General features: G+C 38.1%; 1 annotated feature.

Annotated features, from left to right (window-relative positions):
* Nucleotides 7,000–7,209: an enhancer, noted in NCBI's record as "active region_24150". NCBI's record gives its function as "activates an Ori minimal core promoter by ATAC-STARR-seq in GM12878 lymphoblastoid cells {active_cell/tissue: GM12878}" and the evidence as "EXISTENCE:reporter gene assay evidence [ECO:0000049][PMID:35858748]".

Genomic DNA, 17,622 nt, shown 5'->3' on the forward strand with positions numbered 1-17,622 from the left:
CACGTGTATATATACATGTGTATATATACATATATGTGTATATGTACATATGTACGTGTATATATGTATTTATACGTGTATATGTACGTATATACGTATATATATACATATATATATTTGAGAATGTGCATAAAAATGGCATAGTCTTTTTAAACTTTTATTATATTTTAAATTGCCTGATTGGGTGCTGATGGTTATTATTTAAAATTATTGATTTTTTATTGCTTTTTCTTTAAAAATACTAGTGACTTTCTAGTGAACTGTAAACCCTAAGCAGAATTTACATCATCAAGACCTGAAAACACACTGACCTTATAGCTCCTTGACCTCCTCAATTTTAACAATAGATATTTTGTGAGTGCCTATTATGTTACAGCCCACAGATACTTTCCATGCAATATCTCCTTCATTCTTCCCACAATCTTCTGTGTTGTGGATTTTTAGTCCCATTTTATGATAGCAGAAATTGAGGGTCAGAGAAATTAAATAACTTACCTGAAGTCACACAGCTTATAGGTAGCAAAGCAGGAGGGTACCCAGGCTTGTGACTGCCCCACACTGCCTCCTTGTGACTTCGTGTCAATTACTCAGAGCTTCAATCACCTGTCAACCCATGAGCATTGGAAGACATTCTACTACGAGCCTGCCTTCTGACCACCACTCTTATCTTTGCATTTCTTCTATTAAGTCTTCTGGCTCCTTATCTCCTCTTTTTTATAATCCGTCATCATCTTTAGCATAAATTCCTTCCTAGCTCAGCCATTTCAGCCTTTTGCTCAGGCCACACTTTGATTCCTGCAAATTTGCTTTCAATTCTTCATCTCTACCCATCTTGTGACTCATCTAAACCCTATACATAAAGTCATTAACGAGCCATGAAGAAAGCCAAGAACACAAGTGGATTATTTGTCCACAGGGCAATGCTAATCAACCTCAGTTTAGTTTTCATTATTTCTTGGTGAGCCTTTAATACATTCCAATTTGATTGTCTATCACATACCTGAAGCTCTATTCCAAACCTTTGACCCTCAAACTCCTAAACACAGTCTGTCGAATCTTTATCTCAAAATTATCTCACATTCCTTTGCTCTAGAGGGACTGAGGCCCTTTAGCACCAAAGCCACAGCTCTCTCTTCTTCCATCCCAATCATTTATTTCCTCCTGCTTTCATCTTAGGGGGAGAGAATCCCTTCATCTCAGAATCTGTACCATCATGCGTCACTTTTGGTCAAAAGGAAATAATTAGTTTGATCCTGATTCAAACAAACTATATGTAAAAAGACATCTGGAGATAACTGAGGAAAATTAAATGATGTCTGGATACTGTATTACAGTGAGAAATGGACGTTAACTTGTTAGGTCTGATAATAGCATTGTGGTTATGAAAACCAAGGATCTTATTAGTTAAGAGGTGCATATGAAATTATTACGAGTGAAAAGGCACACAGCATCTGGAATTTGTTCCAAATGCTTTGGCGACTTTTTGTTCCAATGTAGGGCATAGATGAAACAAGCTTTAGGAAATGTTGGTAATTGTCAAAACTGTGTGATGGGTAGCTAGAAAATAATAGATTCTCTCTAATCTTGTGTATATTTGAAAATATCATTCTAAAAATTAGAAAAGCCAAAGCAATTGAAAGTCTTTTTAAAATCGTTATTAAAAAATTATTCTCTAAAATCTTAAATCACCTTCTGTTGGATTATTACCCCTCCTGCTGCTTTGAAACAAGCTCTGGCCTTTTCTGTCCTAACCTTCCCTGAATAGCACTGTTTCTGGAAACTATAACTATCTTTTTATCTTTTCCAAAATCCTGAAATGCCAAGAAAATAGTTCAGATCATTCTGCCTTTCCAGAATTACACCCAATCCTTATCTCCTCCTGCTCTCACCCTCAGCAATCTGGCTTCAACTGTCGTCACCACCTAGCCAGTTTCAAAATTCTCAGGTGCCATACCACTCATCTCTACATGAACAAGGCTGTTTCTCTGATCTCTCTTTTTTGCAGCCAACCATCTCTCTTCTTCTGGATAATTCAAAATTATTTACATTTATTAACTCAGATAATCATCCCAATAATGCTATGAGGTAGGTACTACTGTTGTCCCCATTTTAGGTAAGGGGAATATTGATGCAGAGAAAGGTCAAATAATTTGTTCGTGGTCACACGGCTAATGACTGGCAGAGCTGGGAACCTAGGTAGCCCAGCTCCTTTGTCCATGCTCTTAACTATTGTGATGGTTAATTGTAGGTGTCAACTTAACTGGATTAAGGAATACCTAGAGAACTAGTAAAGCCTGGGCGTGTCTGTGAGAGTGCTGTGCTTCCAGAGGACATTGGTGTGTGCGTTGGTTGGCTGACTGGGAATGATCCACCCTCAGTGGGCATCATCCAATCAGCTTGAGGTCCAGAAAGAACAAAAACACAGAAATTAAGAAAGAAAGAAAGAAAGAAAGAAAGAAAGAAAGAAAGAAAGAAAGAAAGAAAGAAAGAAAGAAGGAAGGAAGGAGAAAGAAAGAAAAGAAAGAAAGAAAGAAGGAAGGAAGGAAGGAAGGAAGGAAGGAAGGAAGGAAGGAAGGAAGGAAGGAAGGAAAGAAAGAAGGAAGGGACAGTTTATTTTTTTCTCTCTCTCTCTCACTCCCCTGGAGATGAGATACTCTTCTCTTTCTCTTGGATATCAGAACTCCAGGATCTTTGGCCTTTGGTCTCCAGGACTTACATCACCAGCCCCTGGGTTCTCGGGCCTTCAGCATTTGACTGAGAATTATACCATCGGCTTCCTGGTTCTGAGGCTTCTGAACTTGAACTGAGCCATCGCACCAACATGCCAGGGTGTCCAGCTTATAGACTGTCGTGGGACTACTCAGCCTCCATAATTGCATGAGCACATTCCCCTAACAAATGCCCTCATATACCAATCTATCCATCTATTTCCTATTCATTCTGTCTCTCTGGAAAACTCTAATGTAACAGTCACACCAAACTGCCTTATTGACATCTAGTGTAGGACTGCTCCTTCTGTTCCATGAGTACAGCCATTGTACAGCCCCTGTGAGTGTACAACGCCACAAGGAGGTAAGCACATTTGGGATTTTAAAGTTCTGTCATAATGTTCTGCTTGCCCAGAAGAATAACCTTTTCACCATGTTAATGAGACCATCTAATATTCAGCATAGTCAGTGAAATCATTACAAAGTGAATTTTACTTTTAATCAATTAGTCGGCAAAATAATCCAAACATGACTAGCTAAGAAACTAAATAGACAAAACAGCTAGTGAATGGACAGGGACTTTATTTCCTGGTGTTTCCTAAAGTCTGGATAAATAGTATCTTTTAGAAATCCTTTGGGAGGCCAAGGCAGGCAGATGGCCTGAGGTCAGGAGTCCGAGACCAGCCTGGCTAACATGGTGAAACCCCATCTCTACTAAAAATACAAAAATTAGCCAGGCAAGGTGGCAGGCACCTGTAATCCCAGCTACTCGGAAGGCTGAGGCAGGAGAATCGCTTGAACCTGGGAGGCGGAGGTTGCAGTGAGCCGAGATCACGCCATTGCACTCCAGCCTGGGCAACAAGAGCAAGACTTTGTCTCAAAAAAAAAAAAAAAAGGAAAGTAAAAGAAAAAGAAATACAGGACAAGTGAAGTATTTTAGGTAATGCTAATGTAGACTGTATGAATAATATGTTTGTAAATCTTGTCAATGAAAATATAAATAGATTTTCAATCATCACTTTCGTCTAACAATCAGTTTTTCTTTTATTTTCAGCAGCTACTCATGAGCATAAAGTCCAAATTCGTTCAGATGGTATAAAAAGCCTTTCATCCTCCAGCCCTGCCTACCTGTCCCCACTCAGCCTCTGTCACCACCAATTCCCGATATATTCTACACTCTATTTGCGATTTCCTAATGAGCTTTGTAGTTTAAGTCCCTAGGTTTTTGCATAGGCTATTTTTTTTAAGAATACATTACCTCCTCCCTATAGACATCTAGAGTGACCCACTGGCCCCAAGTCAGACCAACCCCTTACCCTGGCTCCAGTAGCTCAATCTGCTCTACAAGGATGATTTTACCAAAGCCAGGTGAAACACATTGCCCATTCCTTCTGAATATTTGCAGCCCAGCCTTGGAAAGGCTGGGTATGTGTATGTATATGGTGTATAATCTTTTAGAACTCTCTGTTGTCTCCATCCTCTGGACTCCTAAAGCTCCTCAATATACCCTCATTTGTCCCTATCTCACTTTTCTTGCAATTATTTATGTACACATGCATCTATCTGCCCTACTGTATTTAAAACTTTATGAAGGCATCTGTTATGACTTATTTTTGTTTCTTCATACAAAGTAGACACTCAACTACTCACAAGATCTTGTTGATTGAATTAATAAATCTGTTTCACCTGAGGATTTTCACTCAGCTTCAGTGGGAAAACCGTAGGAATAGGATATTCTTTGCCTGTGGTGGTCTTATCTATCAAATCATTAAGAGACCAAATTTAATAAACTGTAACAATGTCATACCAAGATCCACTTGATACATTTAACAAACTTTAACAATGTCATACCAAGATCCACTTGAATCAAATCTGTTTAAAATGTCAATTACAACATACCTTTTGCCAATTCGAAAAAACATTGTCTGGTTTAGTAGATCCAAAAATAAACACAAAAATTTGCTACTTACGTTATCAAGTTTATACAGTGTTGATTAATTCAGGTGCTTCTGAAAAGGGTTTCAAAAGTAGATGAATACATCTGATTCAGACTCAGAATGATAAACGTTATGATGAGCATTGTTCTTTAACTTCCCTTCATTCATTTTTAATGTCAGTTCATCTCAGGAATATCTGATTTTGTTTATTCTTGCTGTTTGATAATTCTTAAAATTTTATATTTCGAATGCTTGTAACTTCAGTACCATGCCCTCAAGATATTTTTCCAGGCAATCTAAAGGAAAGCGATTTGTCTCAATATACCTAGAGGGAGACCTGCATCTTATGCCTCTTTGTACACCCAGTAAACGCCATAGATCCTGGCATCTACTAAGTCCTCAATATGCATTTGTCAAATTGAATTGACCTACACTTCATCTGGAGAGTCTGATGTTTAAATCATTGTCAGTGTTGCTTGGTTTTATTTGGAAGGAGATGGGCTTATGTTTAGGGAACATAATCTCTAGGTCATAACTTTTTAATTTCTCTATTACATTTATTCACATATATTATTACATTAATAGGGTTTCAGCAAACCACAAGAACTTTTCAGATTTTATCATCTAATGCCATCAGCCTTTCTTTTGATGAAGTTAGACATTCACTTCTGATCACACACATTTACAGAATATTAAATTTCAATCAAGTTGGAGATAAATATTATCAGGTTTTATTAATTATTTCCAAGCTGATACCCCAGGTACTCTGAAAAGACTGTTATTTCTTCCTCCTTTGCTTATTAACTTTAAATCATAGTTTCTTCACTTACATCTGTCTCTTTTTCATTTGTACATGCTGCCAAGTATTAATTATCATTTTTAAAGATTGGAAAAAGAGGAAGTTTTCTTGCACAGAATGATGACCCACGCTTGAAAAGTCATATAGATACAAACACACGGCACAAGAAATAAAAAACTATACCTTATGAAAGTCCTCAGCCAAACCATAAGCATAGAAAGAAGACATTTAATACCAAGTATACTATGAAAAAGAGCCAATGCACAGCTTTCAGAACTTTAATTATTGCCTGTGTCAGGAAAAAATAACTGTTTCCAGCACACTGTGTACCTACTAAAGATTCTAGATGAAATCAGATATATAGGCATTTCTCTGGTAGTTAAAAGAGGTTAGTAACCAAGTACTATGTAATGACATTAATTAAATCCCAATTTCAATCTGTACTAAAACACTGTTCTCCTGAAGCTGTAAATAATGAGAATTGTTCTAGATAGATTTAGTGCACTACACTCCAAGGAAAAACAGAAGTTTGGGCATGTAGTGAGATGCATTGTAAATTAGCTCTTTCAGGAAAAAGAAAAAAGGGAAAAACAAAATAAAGTATTATTAACATCACTAAAATTCACAGATGACAGTACTAATTGCAGTGGATCTCTCATTCATAAATATTTATTAAGCCCTTACTATTTGTATAATGTGGAAACATACAATGCCCAAAGGCCTCAAAGACCTCAGAATCCAATTAAAGAAAAAAACACATATATTCAAAAAAGCCATTGTCATGATTATCTACATAGAAAACTTCAAGAAATCTACAAAATAAAAAACTCCAGAACTAATAAGTGAATTTAGCAAGGTCACAAGATATAAGATTCATGCACAAAGCAATTGCATTTCTATACTTATTACAGCCATGGAGAAATCAAAATTTAAAAACACAATATCATTTAAAGTCTCTTCAAAGAAGATGAAATACTCAGGTATAAACCTAACAAGACAAACACAGGATATGTTTGAAGAAAATTACAAAATGCTGATGAAAGAAGTCAAAGAACGCCTACATAAATGGAACACATACTGTTCGTCGATTGGAAGATTCAACACAGTACTGATGTCAATTTTTCCTAAATTGATCTGCAATTAATGCCATTTCTATCTAAATTCTAGTAAGATCTTTTGTAGATACAGACAAGCTTATTCTGAAATATACACGGGAAGACATAGGCCCTAGAAGAGCTAAAAGAATCTTGAGAAAGAATAAAGCAGGAGGTATCACTTCACCTGATGTGAAGACTTAATATATGGCTACAGTAATCAAGAGAGTTCATATTGGCAAAAGGATACACACACAAATCAATGGAATAGAGAACCCAGAATAAGACCCACGCATATACGAATTACTCTTCTAGGAATCAGTCTCATCCTGTATTTTGGAACTTTCACTTTTTAGAAGTCTTTCCTTATTGTTCATTTTAAATTCCTGATTTTATAAGATAATGCTTTTACTTCATATTCCAATCTCAATAGAAATCTTAAAAGCTGATTCTTCTACTGTGATATCCCTACTTTGCTTTGAATGTTTTCACTATAATGGGGCCTTATCTAGTTCAACCTCCTCTTCTGAAAGAAAAGAAACCAGAACGTTGACAGGCAATGGGACTTTCCTGAGACCACACAGCTGGACAGAGAAACTGACAGCAGGTCAGAAATGACTGACTGACTGACTGACTGGTGGGTGAAATGGAAGGATTCTAACTTAGAGAGAAACCACTCATATCACATTTGAGTCACTGGTGTACAGAGGGGAATTCTTTTTTTACTTATTATTTTAATTGACACATAATAATTATGTGTCAATTAAATCCCATACACATTTATGGGATGCAGTGTGATATTCTGATACACGTATATAGTGTGTAATGATCAAATCAGGGTCATTAGCATATCCAGCAGCTCAAATATTTGTCATTTCTTCACATTGGAAACATTCAAAATCCTCTCTTCTAGCTATTTGAACATATACAATAAATTATTGCTAACTATAGTCATCCTACTGTGCTGTCACACTAAAACAGTCCTCTTATCTGTGATTTTGTAACTATTAACCAAACCCTCTCTCTGTACTCTCCCTTTACTCCCCTTCCTGGCCTCTAGTAACCACTATTCTACTCCTTACTTCTAAGAGATCAACATTTTTAGCTTCCACATATGAATGAAAACATGTGGTATTTATTTTTCTGTGCCTAACTCATTTAACAACATAATGTCCTCCAGGCTCATCTGTGTTGTTGCAAATGGCAGAATTTTATTCTTTTTAATAGCTGAATAGTATTCCTTCATGTATCTATACCACATTTTCTTTTTCCATTCATCTATTGATAGATACAGGTTGATTCTCTATCTTAACTATTGTGAATAGTGCCATAGTAAACATGGGAGGGCAGATGCTCTTCAACATAACTGATTTTATTTTCTTTGGATATATACCTAGCAGTGGGGTTGCTAAATCATATGGTAGTTCTACTTCTAGTTTTTTTTGAGGAACCTCCATACTGTTTTCCATAATGGCTGTACTAATTTATGTTCCCACTCACAGTATATAAAACTTCCTCTTTCAGAGAGGAGACTTTTGAGCCATGTTGAGGTGGTCTTAAGATTTTAGAAAAGTTGACAAAAGACACCAGAGAGGCTCTCCAAATGAAAAGCCATTCAATGTTGCTGAAAGGAAGAAAAGGACAATATTGGGTTGGGATGGTTACATAGATTTCTGGAGGAATGGTTTTTTTTTTAAACTACATGTAGTGAAAAAGACTTCATCAATATTAAATGCCAAATGAATTGCATAAGACCTATAAAGTAAAAAAAGTCAGAAGGACTGAACCCCAGAACCAACTATGGCTGGCAAAAAAAAAAAAAAAAAAAAAAGCAATAACAATACTTTTTCTTTTTTTCTTTTTTTATTTATTTTTCATTTTACTTTAAGTTCTGGGATACGAGTGCAGAACATGCAGGTTTGTTACACAGGTATACATGTGCCATGGTGGTTTGCTGGGCCTATCAGCCCATCTAGGTTTTAAGCCCCACATGCGTTAGGTATATGTCCTAATGTTCTCCCTCTCCTTGACTCCCACCCACCAACAGGCCCCGGTGTGTGATGTTCCCCTCCCTGTGTCCATGTGTTCTCATTATTCAACTTCCACTTATGAGGGAAAACATGCAGTGTTTTTCTGTTCCTGTGTTAGTTTGCTGAGAATGATGGCTTCCAGCTGCATCCATGTCCCTACAGAGGACATTAACTTATTCTTTTTTATGGCTGCATAGTGTTCCATGGTGTGTATGTGCCACATTTTCTTTATCCAGTCTATCATTGATGGGCATTTGGGTTGGTTCCAAGTCTTTGCTGTTGTAAATAGTGCTGCAGTAAACATACATGTGCATGTGTCTTTATACTAGAAAGATTTATAATCCTTTGGGTATATACCGAGTAATGGGATTGCCGGGTCAAATGGTATTTCTGGTTCTAGATCCTTGAGGAATTGCCACACTGTCTTCCACAATGGTTGAACTAATTTACACTCCCACCAACAGTGTAAAAGCGTTCTTATTTATCCACATCCTCTCCAGCATCTGTTGTTTCCTGACTTTTTAATAATCGCCATTCTAACTGGCACGAGATGGTATCTCATTGTAGTTTTGATTTGCATTTCTCTTTTTAAAAAAAAAAGCAATAACAATACTTTTTAAAATAAGACATACCTAATAAAAGAAATGGTTTTTTTGAATTATGGGAAAAAAGAATGATAGTTTTATCCATTTCTAAATGCAGATGGTTTTATATTAATTTGACTAGAGGAAGCAAAATCAGCTAGGGCTTCATTTCTGTAGTCTCTGTTGGAGAAATCCATCTTTAGTCTTAAAAGGATAGACAAATATTTTACCAGAAAATAGGACCCAATATGCGCCCATTCTTTCACCCATTCATCCAAAAAAAAAAGATAGGCTCATACAACACACTAGGTACTTGGCAGAGTTAGGAAAGTGACATGAATATGGCATAGAAGATAAAAAATGTGCCAAGGATCTAAAGTTGAACAAAATCAAGTGGCATCTGTTTCCTCAAGAAGGTCAGTTATTTAGCATAAGAGACACATTAATTCAATTGTCAGTCAAACAAATGTAAAATTATATTTGTCATGTGTTGCGAAGAAGTATGTGGTGCTATGACAGCATAGATTAGGGAGATTTGATTTAGGGGAGCAAAGGAATGTGAGAAAGTGGTTGGGAAAGACCCCCTTGGAGAGGGATGGTTGAGCTGAGACCTGGAATGAGAAGGAGTTAAATTAGGATACAAGCATGGCAGAGAAGAACCTGCCTGGCAGACAGAATTATGAGTGCAGGAGCCTCGTGACAGTGTGAGCAAGGTGTGCCCAAGTACTGAAGGAAGGCCATCATGGCTGGGCACACAGATGAAGGCAGTGAGATATAACTGCAAAGGTAGGCAAGATCGTTTAGGCAGGGCTTTCTAAGCCATGATCAAGATTTAACTCTTTTCCAGGAACAAAGAGAATTTATCGAAGGAATAGCAGAGTCAGATTTGTATCTCAAAAGACCAATATGCCTACCTGGCATAGGCTTGGGATACCCAGTGAGGAAGTTTTCATTAGTCCAGGTGAGACAGCTGTACCTTAAACTGGTGCAGGAGAGTGGACCTAACAAGAAGGGGAAAATGTGAAGGTATTTTTAGGAAGCATAATCCATTGAACTTTTTGATGAATTGGATATGAGAGAAGAAGGTGTGTGACTATTTTCTATGGTTCCGGTTTGCAGAAGTGACCAGATGGTGGTGCCCTTTACCAAGCTAAGATACAGCAAAGATGACCACAGTTAGGGTTGAAAACCATGAGTTCAAGAAAATCATGAATTATGTTTGAGACAACCAAGTGGAGTTGTCAAATTGGCAGTTGGATATGTAATTCTGGCATCCAGAAGCAAGGTTTCAATCAAGGAAGAGATTCTAAGAAAGATTTTGCTGATGATAAGATGTTAATATACACATATGTATATATTCTATACTGGAGACAATTGCATATGTTGTTTTTTCTGTATCCTCAAGTGCAAAAAGAAATTACAAGTATAATCATGTATCTATTGTTTTTTGTATTATAGAAATCAGGCATTAAAGGCCAGGCGCGGTGGCTCACGCCTGTAATCCCAACACTTTGGGAGGCCAAGGTGGGCAGATCACGAGGTCAAGAGATCGAGATCATTTTGGCCAACATGGTGAAACCCCGTCTCTACTAAAAATACAAAAATTAGCCAGGTGTGGTGGCGCGACTGTAGTCCCAGCTTCTCAGGAGGTTGAGGCACGAGAATCACTTGAACTGGGGAGGCAGAGTTTGCAGTGAGCAGAAATTGAGCCACTGCACTCCAGCCTGGCAACAGAGCAAGACTCTGCCTAAAAAAAGAAAAAGAAAAAAAGAAAGAAGTCAGGCATTAAAAAAATAAGTACTAAAAGAACGAGAATGGAGAAATATTTTGAAGGGAAAAAGGCTGATCCCACAAACATATGCTGGTGAGGTCAACATTAATCACCAAAAGACTCTAGAACAGATGTGGAATAGTATGATTTGTGAGCTCTTCAAAAAGGAAAACATAATTACTGGGCCAAAATTCAGTTAAACTCATTCTATCCCTTTTTTAAAGAATTATTATTAAAATGTGGTAGACTTAGGATCTAGACTTCAGCCAGGCATTTGATAAACACTCTCAAAATGCTGTTATGAAAAATATAATAAGCTAGATGATAACATTGTTAGGTGGGTTGACAGCTGGCTCCAAAAAACATGTTTATAGTCCAAGAGGAAGAAAGTAATGGTGATCTGTAGCATTTGTCTATAGTCCTGTCCTTTTTAGCAACACCTGGAGACATTTTTTGTTGTCATGGCTGAGAGTGGGGTTTGAGGGGTGGTAGGAAGGGCAGTACTACTGACATCTACTGGGTAAAAGCCAGAGATCCTGATAAACAGTCCACAGTGCAGAGGACAGGCCACTACTTTGTCCCTCACTGACCAAGAAAGAATTATTCAATTCAAATGTCATTAAGGCCACTGCTGAGGAAACATATTCTAAGTGTTTAAGTGAAGAGATTAGAATAAAGGGTCAAATATAGCATAAATTAATAAAGATAATTATAATATCCTATATTTACTTCCCTCCAGTTACCAACTGTGTAGTAATGGGCAAGAAGCTAGAGGACCTCACTTCTGGTCACTTCCTTCCACTACAGTAAGTGCTGGAAACAATCTTCTTGCTCCAGCTATTCATTCTAAGAATGCAAACTCGTTCTCAGAGACTCACTTACCTTCTTTAAGCTTCTGTTTCTTTCTTTGTGTAAAAAGGAGATTGAACACGATGATATTTATGGAAGGCTGAAAATGGCTCCCCAAAAGATACTCACATTCTAATTTCCGGAATCTTATTTGGAAAAAGAGTCATTGCAGATGTGATTGTGATGAATATTGGTGTAGATATCACCCTAGATCATCTGTATGAGTCTTAAATGTCATCTCACATATCCTATTAAGAGAGAGGCAGAGAGCAATTACACACAGGGAGAAGAGAAGGCAATGTAAACATACAGGCAGAGATTGGAGTGACTTGCTCTCACAAGTCAAAGAATGCTAACAGCCACCAGAAGCAAGAAACAGATTCTCCCCTGGAACCTCTGGAAGGATCACAGTTATGTCGATGCCCTGCTTTCAGCCCAGTAATATTAAATTCAGACTTCTGGCCTTCAGAACTGTGAGGAAAAACATTTATGTTATTTTAACCCTCCAAGTCTGTGGTAATTTGTTGTAGCAGCCATAGAAGACTAACACAGATTTTGGTGCCAGAAGTGGGATGTTGCTATAACAAATACCTAAAAATAAGGAAATGGCTTTGGAATTAGATACTGCATAGTAACTGGAAGCATTCTGAGGCATGTAGTAAGCTGAAGAAAATGGGCTTCCAAAGATATATTCACTTTCAAATTTTTAGGACATGCAAATATTACCTTATATGAAAATCACTGTGATTAAATTAAATATCTGGAAAGGAGGTGTTATTTAGGATTACCTGGGTGGATTGTAAATGCAATCACATGTATCCTTATAAGAGACAGACAGAGTTTTAGGTCAGACAAACACACAAGAAAGCAATGTAAGGACAGAATAGAGAGACAGATAGCACCAGCCAAGTTTACAGCCCCTAGAAGCTGGAAGAGGCAAACAATAAATTCTACACTGGAGCTTCTGGAGGGAGTGTGGCCCTGCCTACCACCTTGATTTTTGATTTCGGACACATGGAACTGTGAAAGAATAAATTTCTGTTGTTTTAAGTTACCAAATTTATAGTAGTTTTTAGTACAGCCACAGGAAACTAACACTGATTTTGGTACAAGGAGTGAGATGCTGCTACAACAAACACCTAGAAGTGTGGAAGTGGCTTTGGGACTGAATAACGGGTGAAGACTGGAAAATTCTTGAGTTGCATGATAGCCAAAGCCTAGATTGCCTTGAACAGACTATTGGTAGAAATACAGATAGAGATATTCCTGGTGAGGGCTCAGAAGGAAATAAGCACAGTATAGAAAGCATTTATCATCTTAGAAAATACATGTGTTATCATAAACAAAGTGTTTGTGAAAATATGAATTTAAAGGTGATTCTGATGAGGGCTCAGAAAGAATGAGAAATATATCCTTGGAAATGGGAAGGGGGTGATCCTTGTTCTATAGGGGCACACATTTGGCTGTATTGTGTCCTACAGTTATGTAGAAAGCAGAACACGTAGGTGATGAACTTCTCTATTTAGCAGATTAGATTTCCAAAGTGTTAAAGGTGTGGCTTGATATTTTTTTCTTGCTGCCTATAGCAAAATTCAAGAGAAAAGAGATAAATCAAGGACCTGTTATTCAAAACAGAGTCAGGATTCAGTGATTTGGGAAATTCTCAGTCTATCCAGATTGCAAAGGATGCAAAAATTAGTAGATTGGCTGTTAGGAAAGCATGCTCTGGCGATAAGGCCAAGGGTGAGAGTGGACAACACGTAATAAAGAGATTCAGCAAGTGATTCATACATCTACTCAACCATCTCAGCAGAAGTCAAGAATAGAGATAGAATTATCCAGGAAAGATCTGCAGGAAACCCTCTGGTCTAATAGTGGGAATCCACATGGCATATATGGGAGAAGGTTTTGGAAATGTTACACCAGCAGAAGCACTGTTAGCATGAACTGAAGGAGACAGAGACAAGATAAACTGAAAGAAGGTTATCAGACTCCCAGAATTTTACAGGCAGGAAATAAGCAGATAAAACCACTGCAAACATGTGCTCTCAGTTAATAAAAAGGAATGATTTCCCCCAAGGACAGAGCTAGACCTGGAGCTTCAGAGCCAGAGGCCAGAGCCACAGGCACAAAGGCAGAGGATGGAGCCGTGGTCCTACAGGGCAGAGCCTCAAGTCGCAGAGGATTGTTCTCATGCCTTATTTTGAATTATCTTGGGATGGTGGTCCCTTTATTCCTTCTATTTTCTCCATTTTGGAATGGAAATATCTGTAACTGTTATCCTATACCTGTCTCATCTTCATATTTTGGAAGCAGATAACTTATTTTCTAATTTCACAGGTAGGTCCACAAACGGAGAGGAAATTTTTCCTGGAATCTTGAGAAACTTACCCTAAATTATCCAGGTGGCCTCTAAATGCAATTATGTGTATCCTTATAAGAGAGAGGCAGAGGAAGATTGGGGACAGACCCACACACACAGAGGTGAAAGCCATGTGAAGATGCAGCAGAAAGAGATGCAGCCACAAGCCAGGAAACGCCAACAGCCACCAGAAGCTAGAAGAGGCCAGGAACAGGTTCTCCTCTAGAGCCTAGAGAGGGAGTACATCCCTGAGATTGTTGGCCTCCAGAACTGTAATGGAATAAGTTTCTATTCTTTTAAGTCACTGAGTTTGTGTTAGTTTGTTACAGCAGCTACAGGAAACTAATATGGTATTCTACAATTCTAAAAATAAATTCAGGAGCTGTGATGTAATGACAGCAGGCACATAAATAACCTAGGTCTTCAAGTGATGGCAAATTCAGAGTAATATGGCTGTAACACGTACAATGTCACCTTAGAACTTCCTTAATAGAAGATGAGAGTACAGAATAAGGAAGCCAGTGTCCTGTTTTTCTCTACAGTGTTCAGACAATATTATGCCCAGCTCTCTGTACTACAGCTTTAAAAGGCATTGACATATTGAAATATGTTTAAAGAAAGGAAGGTATCACAAGGAGAGTGAAATCATGCATATGACAAAGAATTGAAGAAAAGAAGTAGAGGTGTCTAGTGCTTATTCTGAAAAATGTCCTTGAAGCACAGAATATGGCAGCTGCCCTCAAACTACTCAGAAACCTGTCTTGTGGAAGAGGGAAAAGATGATCTCATTCTCTTTGGCTCTAAGATCAGGACCTAAATTTAAGGAGAAGTTATAGGGAGGCCAATTTAGACTCCAAAGCCTCAAATTTTGATTGATCTGCTTCAGTGGTGCTAGATTGTCCGGAATCTGAGGGATCCACAAGCTGAAATGATTGCCTACTGGGGGATATTGTCTGAAAGATTCATGCATAAGTTGGACGAGGATGCCCCAGGGATCCATTCAAATATGATTCTGTAATTCTACTGTTATTGGTAGGAGAGGAGTAGGTCAAGTTTCTATCCCACAACATTTGAAGATGTGTTCCTTTATTGCTTAGCCTCCTCTTTTCCAGAACCACAACCCCTCCCCAAAAAAATACACAGCTTCTTTTACCCTTACTGCTAGTGTTATTATCCAACATTAAAGCACTCTTGACTTTCTGTGAACCGTGAAAATTCTTCATGACTTCCCCTGTTGCAGTCTAGTATAAAAAACAAGCCCTGAATCTAGGCTTGACTAATTATAAGCAGAACTACATAATGGCAGCCTACATTCTATTCCTACTGAAGTATCCACTGACACAAACCCACACTCCCTTTTCTAAAATCATGAACTGCTCAACCTATCCGTCTTTCCTAAGTATTTTTGAACTTCATTTTGTAAGGCTTGCTGATCCTCTCCATATGAATAAGATAAAGTTGGCAGGAATTGAACTTAGTCCTATTTGTTTCTAACCTCTAATTAAATGCTAATCCTACCCTCCAGAAAGTGGTGTCCTCAGCCAACTTACAGTGTACTTTCTCTTCCCTTTCTCATGTTCTCTAACCAACTAGATAAACAAGACAGGACCCGGGGGAGAACTCCAAACCCTCCTCTTTGGCTGTGCTTATCAAAGAGGAAAGCAACGTGGAATTCAAAGAATCAATTATTTGAGAGCTGCAATATCAAACTACTATTTTTTTCTAACATTGTAACTGCTTCTGAAATTGCAGAGTGGTCCTTATCTCCTCTCAAAGGCATGCTTTCAAAGGCATGCGTTTAAAAGCATGACCAGCCAGGCATGGTGGCTCACACCTGTAATCCCAACACTTCGGAAGGTGGATGTGGGCAGACCCCTTGAGCCCAGGAGTTCAAGACCAGCCAGGGAAACATGGCAAAACTCTGTCTCTATAATAAATACAAAAAAAAGCAGGAAGTGCTTCATCAATTACCATCTTCTGGGCATGATACATTATGCCCAAGGCTCTAAACCATGATAGGATAAATCAAATCAAATCAAATCTTGTCAGTGGTTTGTAAGTATTCCACAGGAGGCCCCAATTCTAAGATGGGTTCCCCTTTTTAGAAAGAGAGCCTTGGAAGGTATCATTAATATGTATCATCATTACCTTTTGGGTGTTTTGGTGAAATGATGGTACATTATCATTATTAATATGTATCAAATTAGCATGTTGGTTAAAACTGGCTTTTGTGACATTTTTTCCAGGACAATTGAAGTCAAAATTGGTGTTTTGGTACCCAAAGGGTAGGGGCTAAAAGGCACACTACCAGAAAATTATACCCATAATTCCATAGACTGGTATCCATTGACTCTAAAAACCTTGTCTGAGCTATTTGTGTATGCAATTTTGACTTCAATTGTCCTGGAAAAAAAGGTCACAAAATCCAATTTTAACCAGCATGCTAATTTTATTACTGAACATGCAAACAAATCAGCAAAGGTTTATTTGAGTCCATTCATAGTAATATGCAAGTGAATTCTGAAGTCAGGGCCAGATGCAGTGGCTCACGCCTGTAATCCCAGCACTTTGAGAGGCCAAGATGGGTGGATCACTTAAGGTCATGAGTTTGAGACCAACCTGGCCAACATGATGAAACCCATCTCTACTAAAAATGCAAAAAAAATTAGCTGGGTGTGGTGGTGTGGACCTGTAGTCCCAGCTACTAAGGAGGTTGAGGCATGAAAATTGCTTGAACCCAGGAGGCGGAGGTTGCAGTGAGCCGAGATCGCATCACTGCACTCCAGTCTGGCAACAGAGTGAGACTCTATCTAAAAAAAAAAGAAGAAGAAGAAGTCAGGATCTTCAAGTTAAATCTAAGCTTGCATCTAAAAATTGGAAAATAGAATTTTGTATTCTAAGGTTGTTTCTGGTTATTTTTTAATGCAGAAAAAGCAATCCACTCATTAACCAACACAAATTTACTGAAATCCCCAAAGGTACATGATCATCACTAATAAAAATAATTGAGATGCATTTTATTCATATAAAAATACCATGTAAATGCTGAATAATTACAAGTCATCATTTCAAATCTGATTTGAGAGACAAAGCATTTATATTTGGCAAGCGTTGTTCCTGTGCTCCTGATCACTGAGCAACCATGAAATTGACTACAAACAATAACTGACACCTTATTTACAAAAGACTTCAGGTTTTCATGTTATAACCTTTTATGCTAGCATTAACAGTTCTTATTTTGTCCACTGCATAGAGGAGCCACAAGAGGAGACATGAATCCACATAGAGGAGACATGGGCAGTGAATGGCAAAAATATGGAAACAGAAAAACCAACTTGATATCCATCTGCGTGATAAATGGCATGCTTTTAAAAGCATGACCAGCCAGGCACGGTGGCGCACACCTGTAATCCCAACACTTTGGAAGGTGGAGGTGGGCAGACCCCTTGAGCCCAGGAGTTCAAGACCAGCCAGGGCAACGTGGCGAA

The sequence above is a fragment of the Homo sapiens genome, chromosome 6 (assembly GCF_000001405.40).
Source record: "Homo sapiens chromosome 6, GRCh38.p14 Primary Assembly".
NCBI classification, from domain to species: Eukaryota; Metazoa; Chordata; class Mammalia; order Primates; family Hominidae; genus Homo; species Homo sapiens.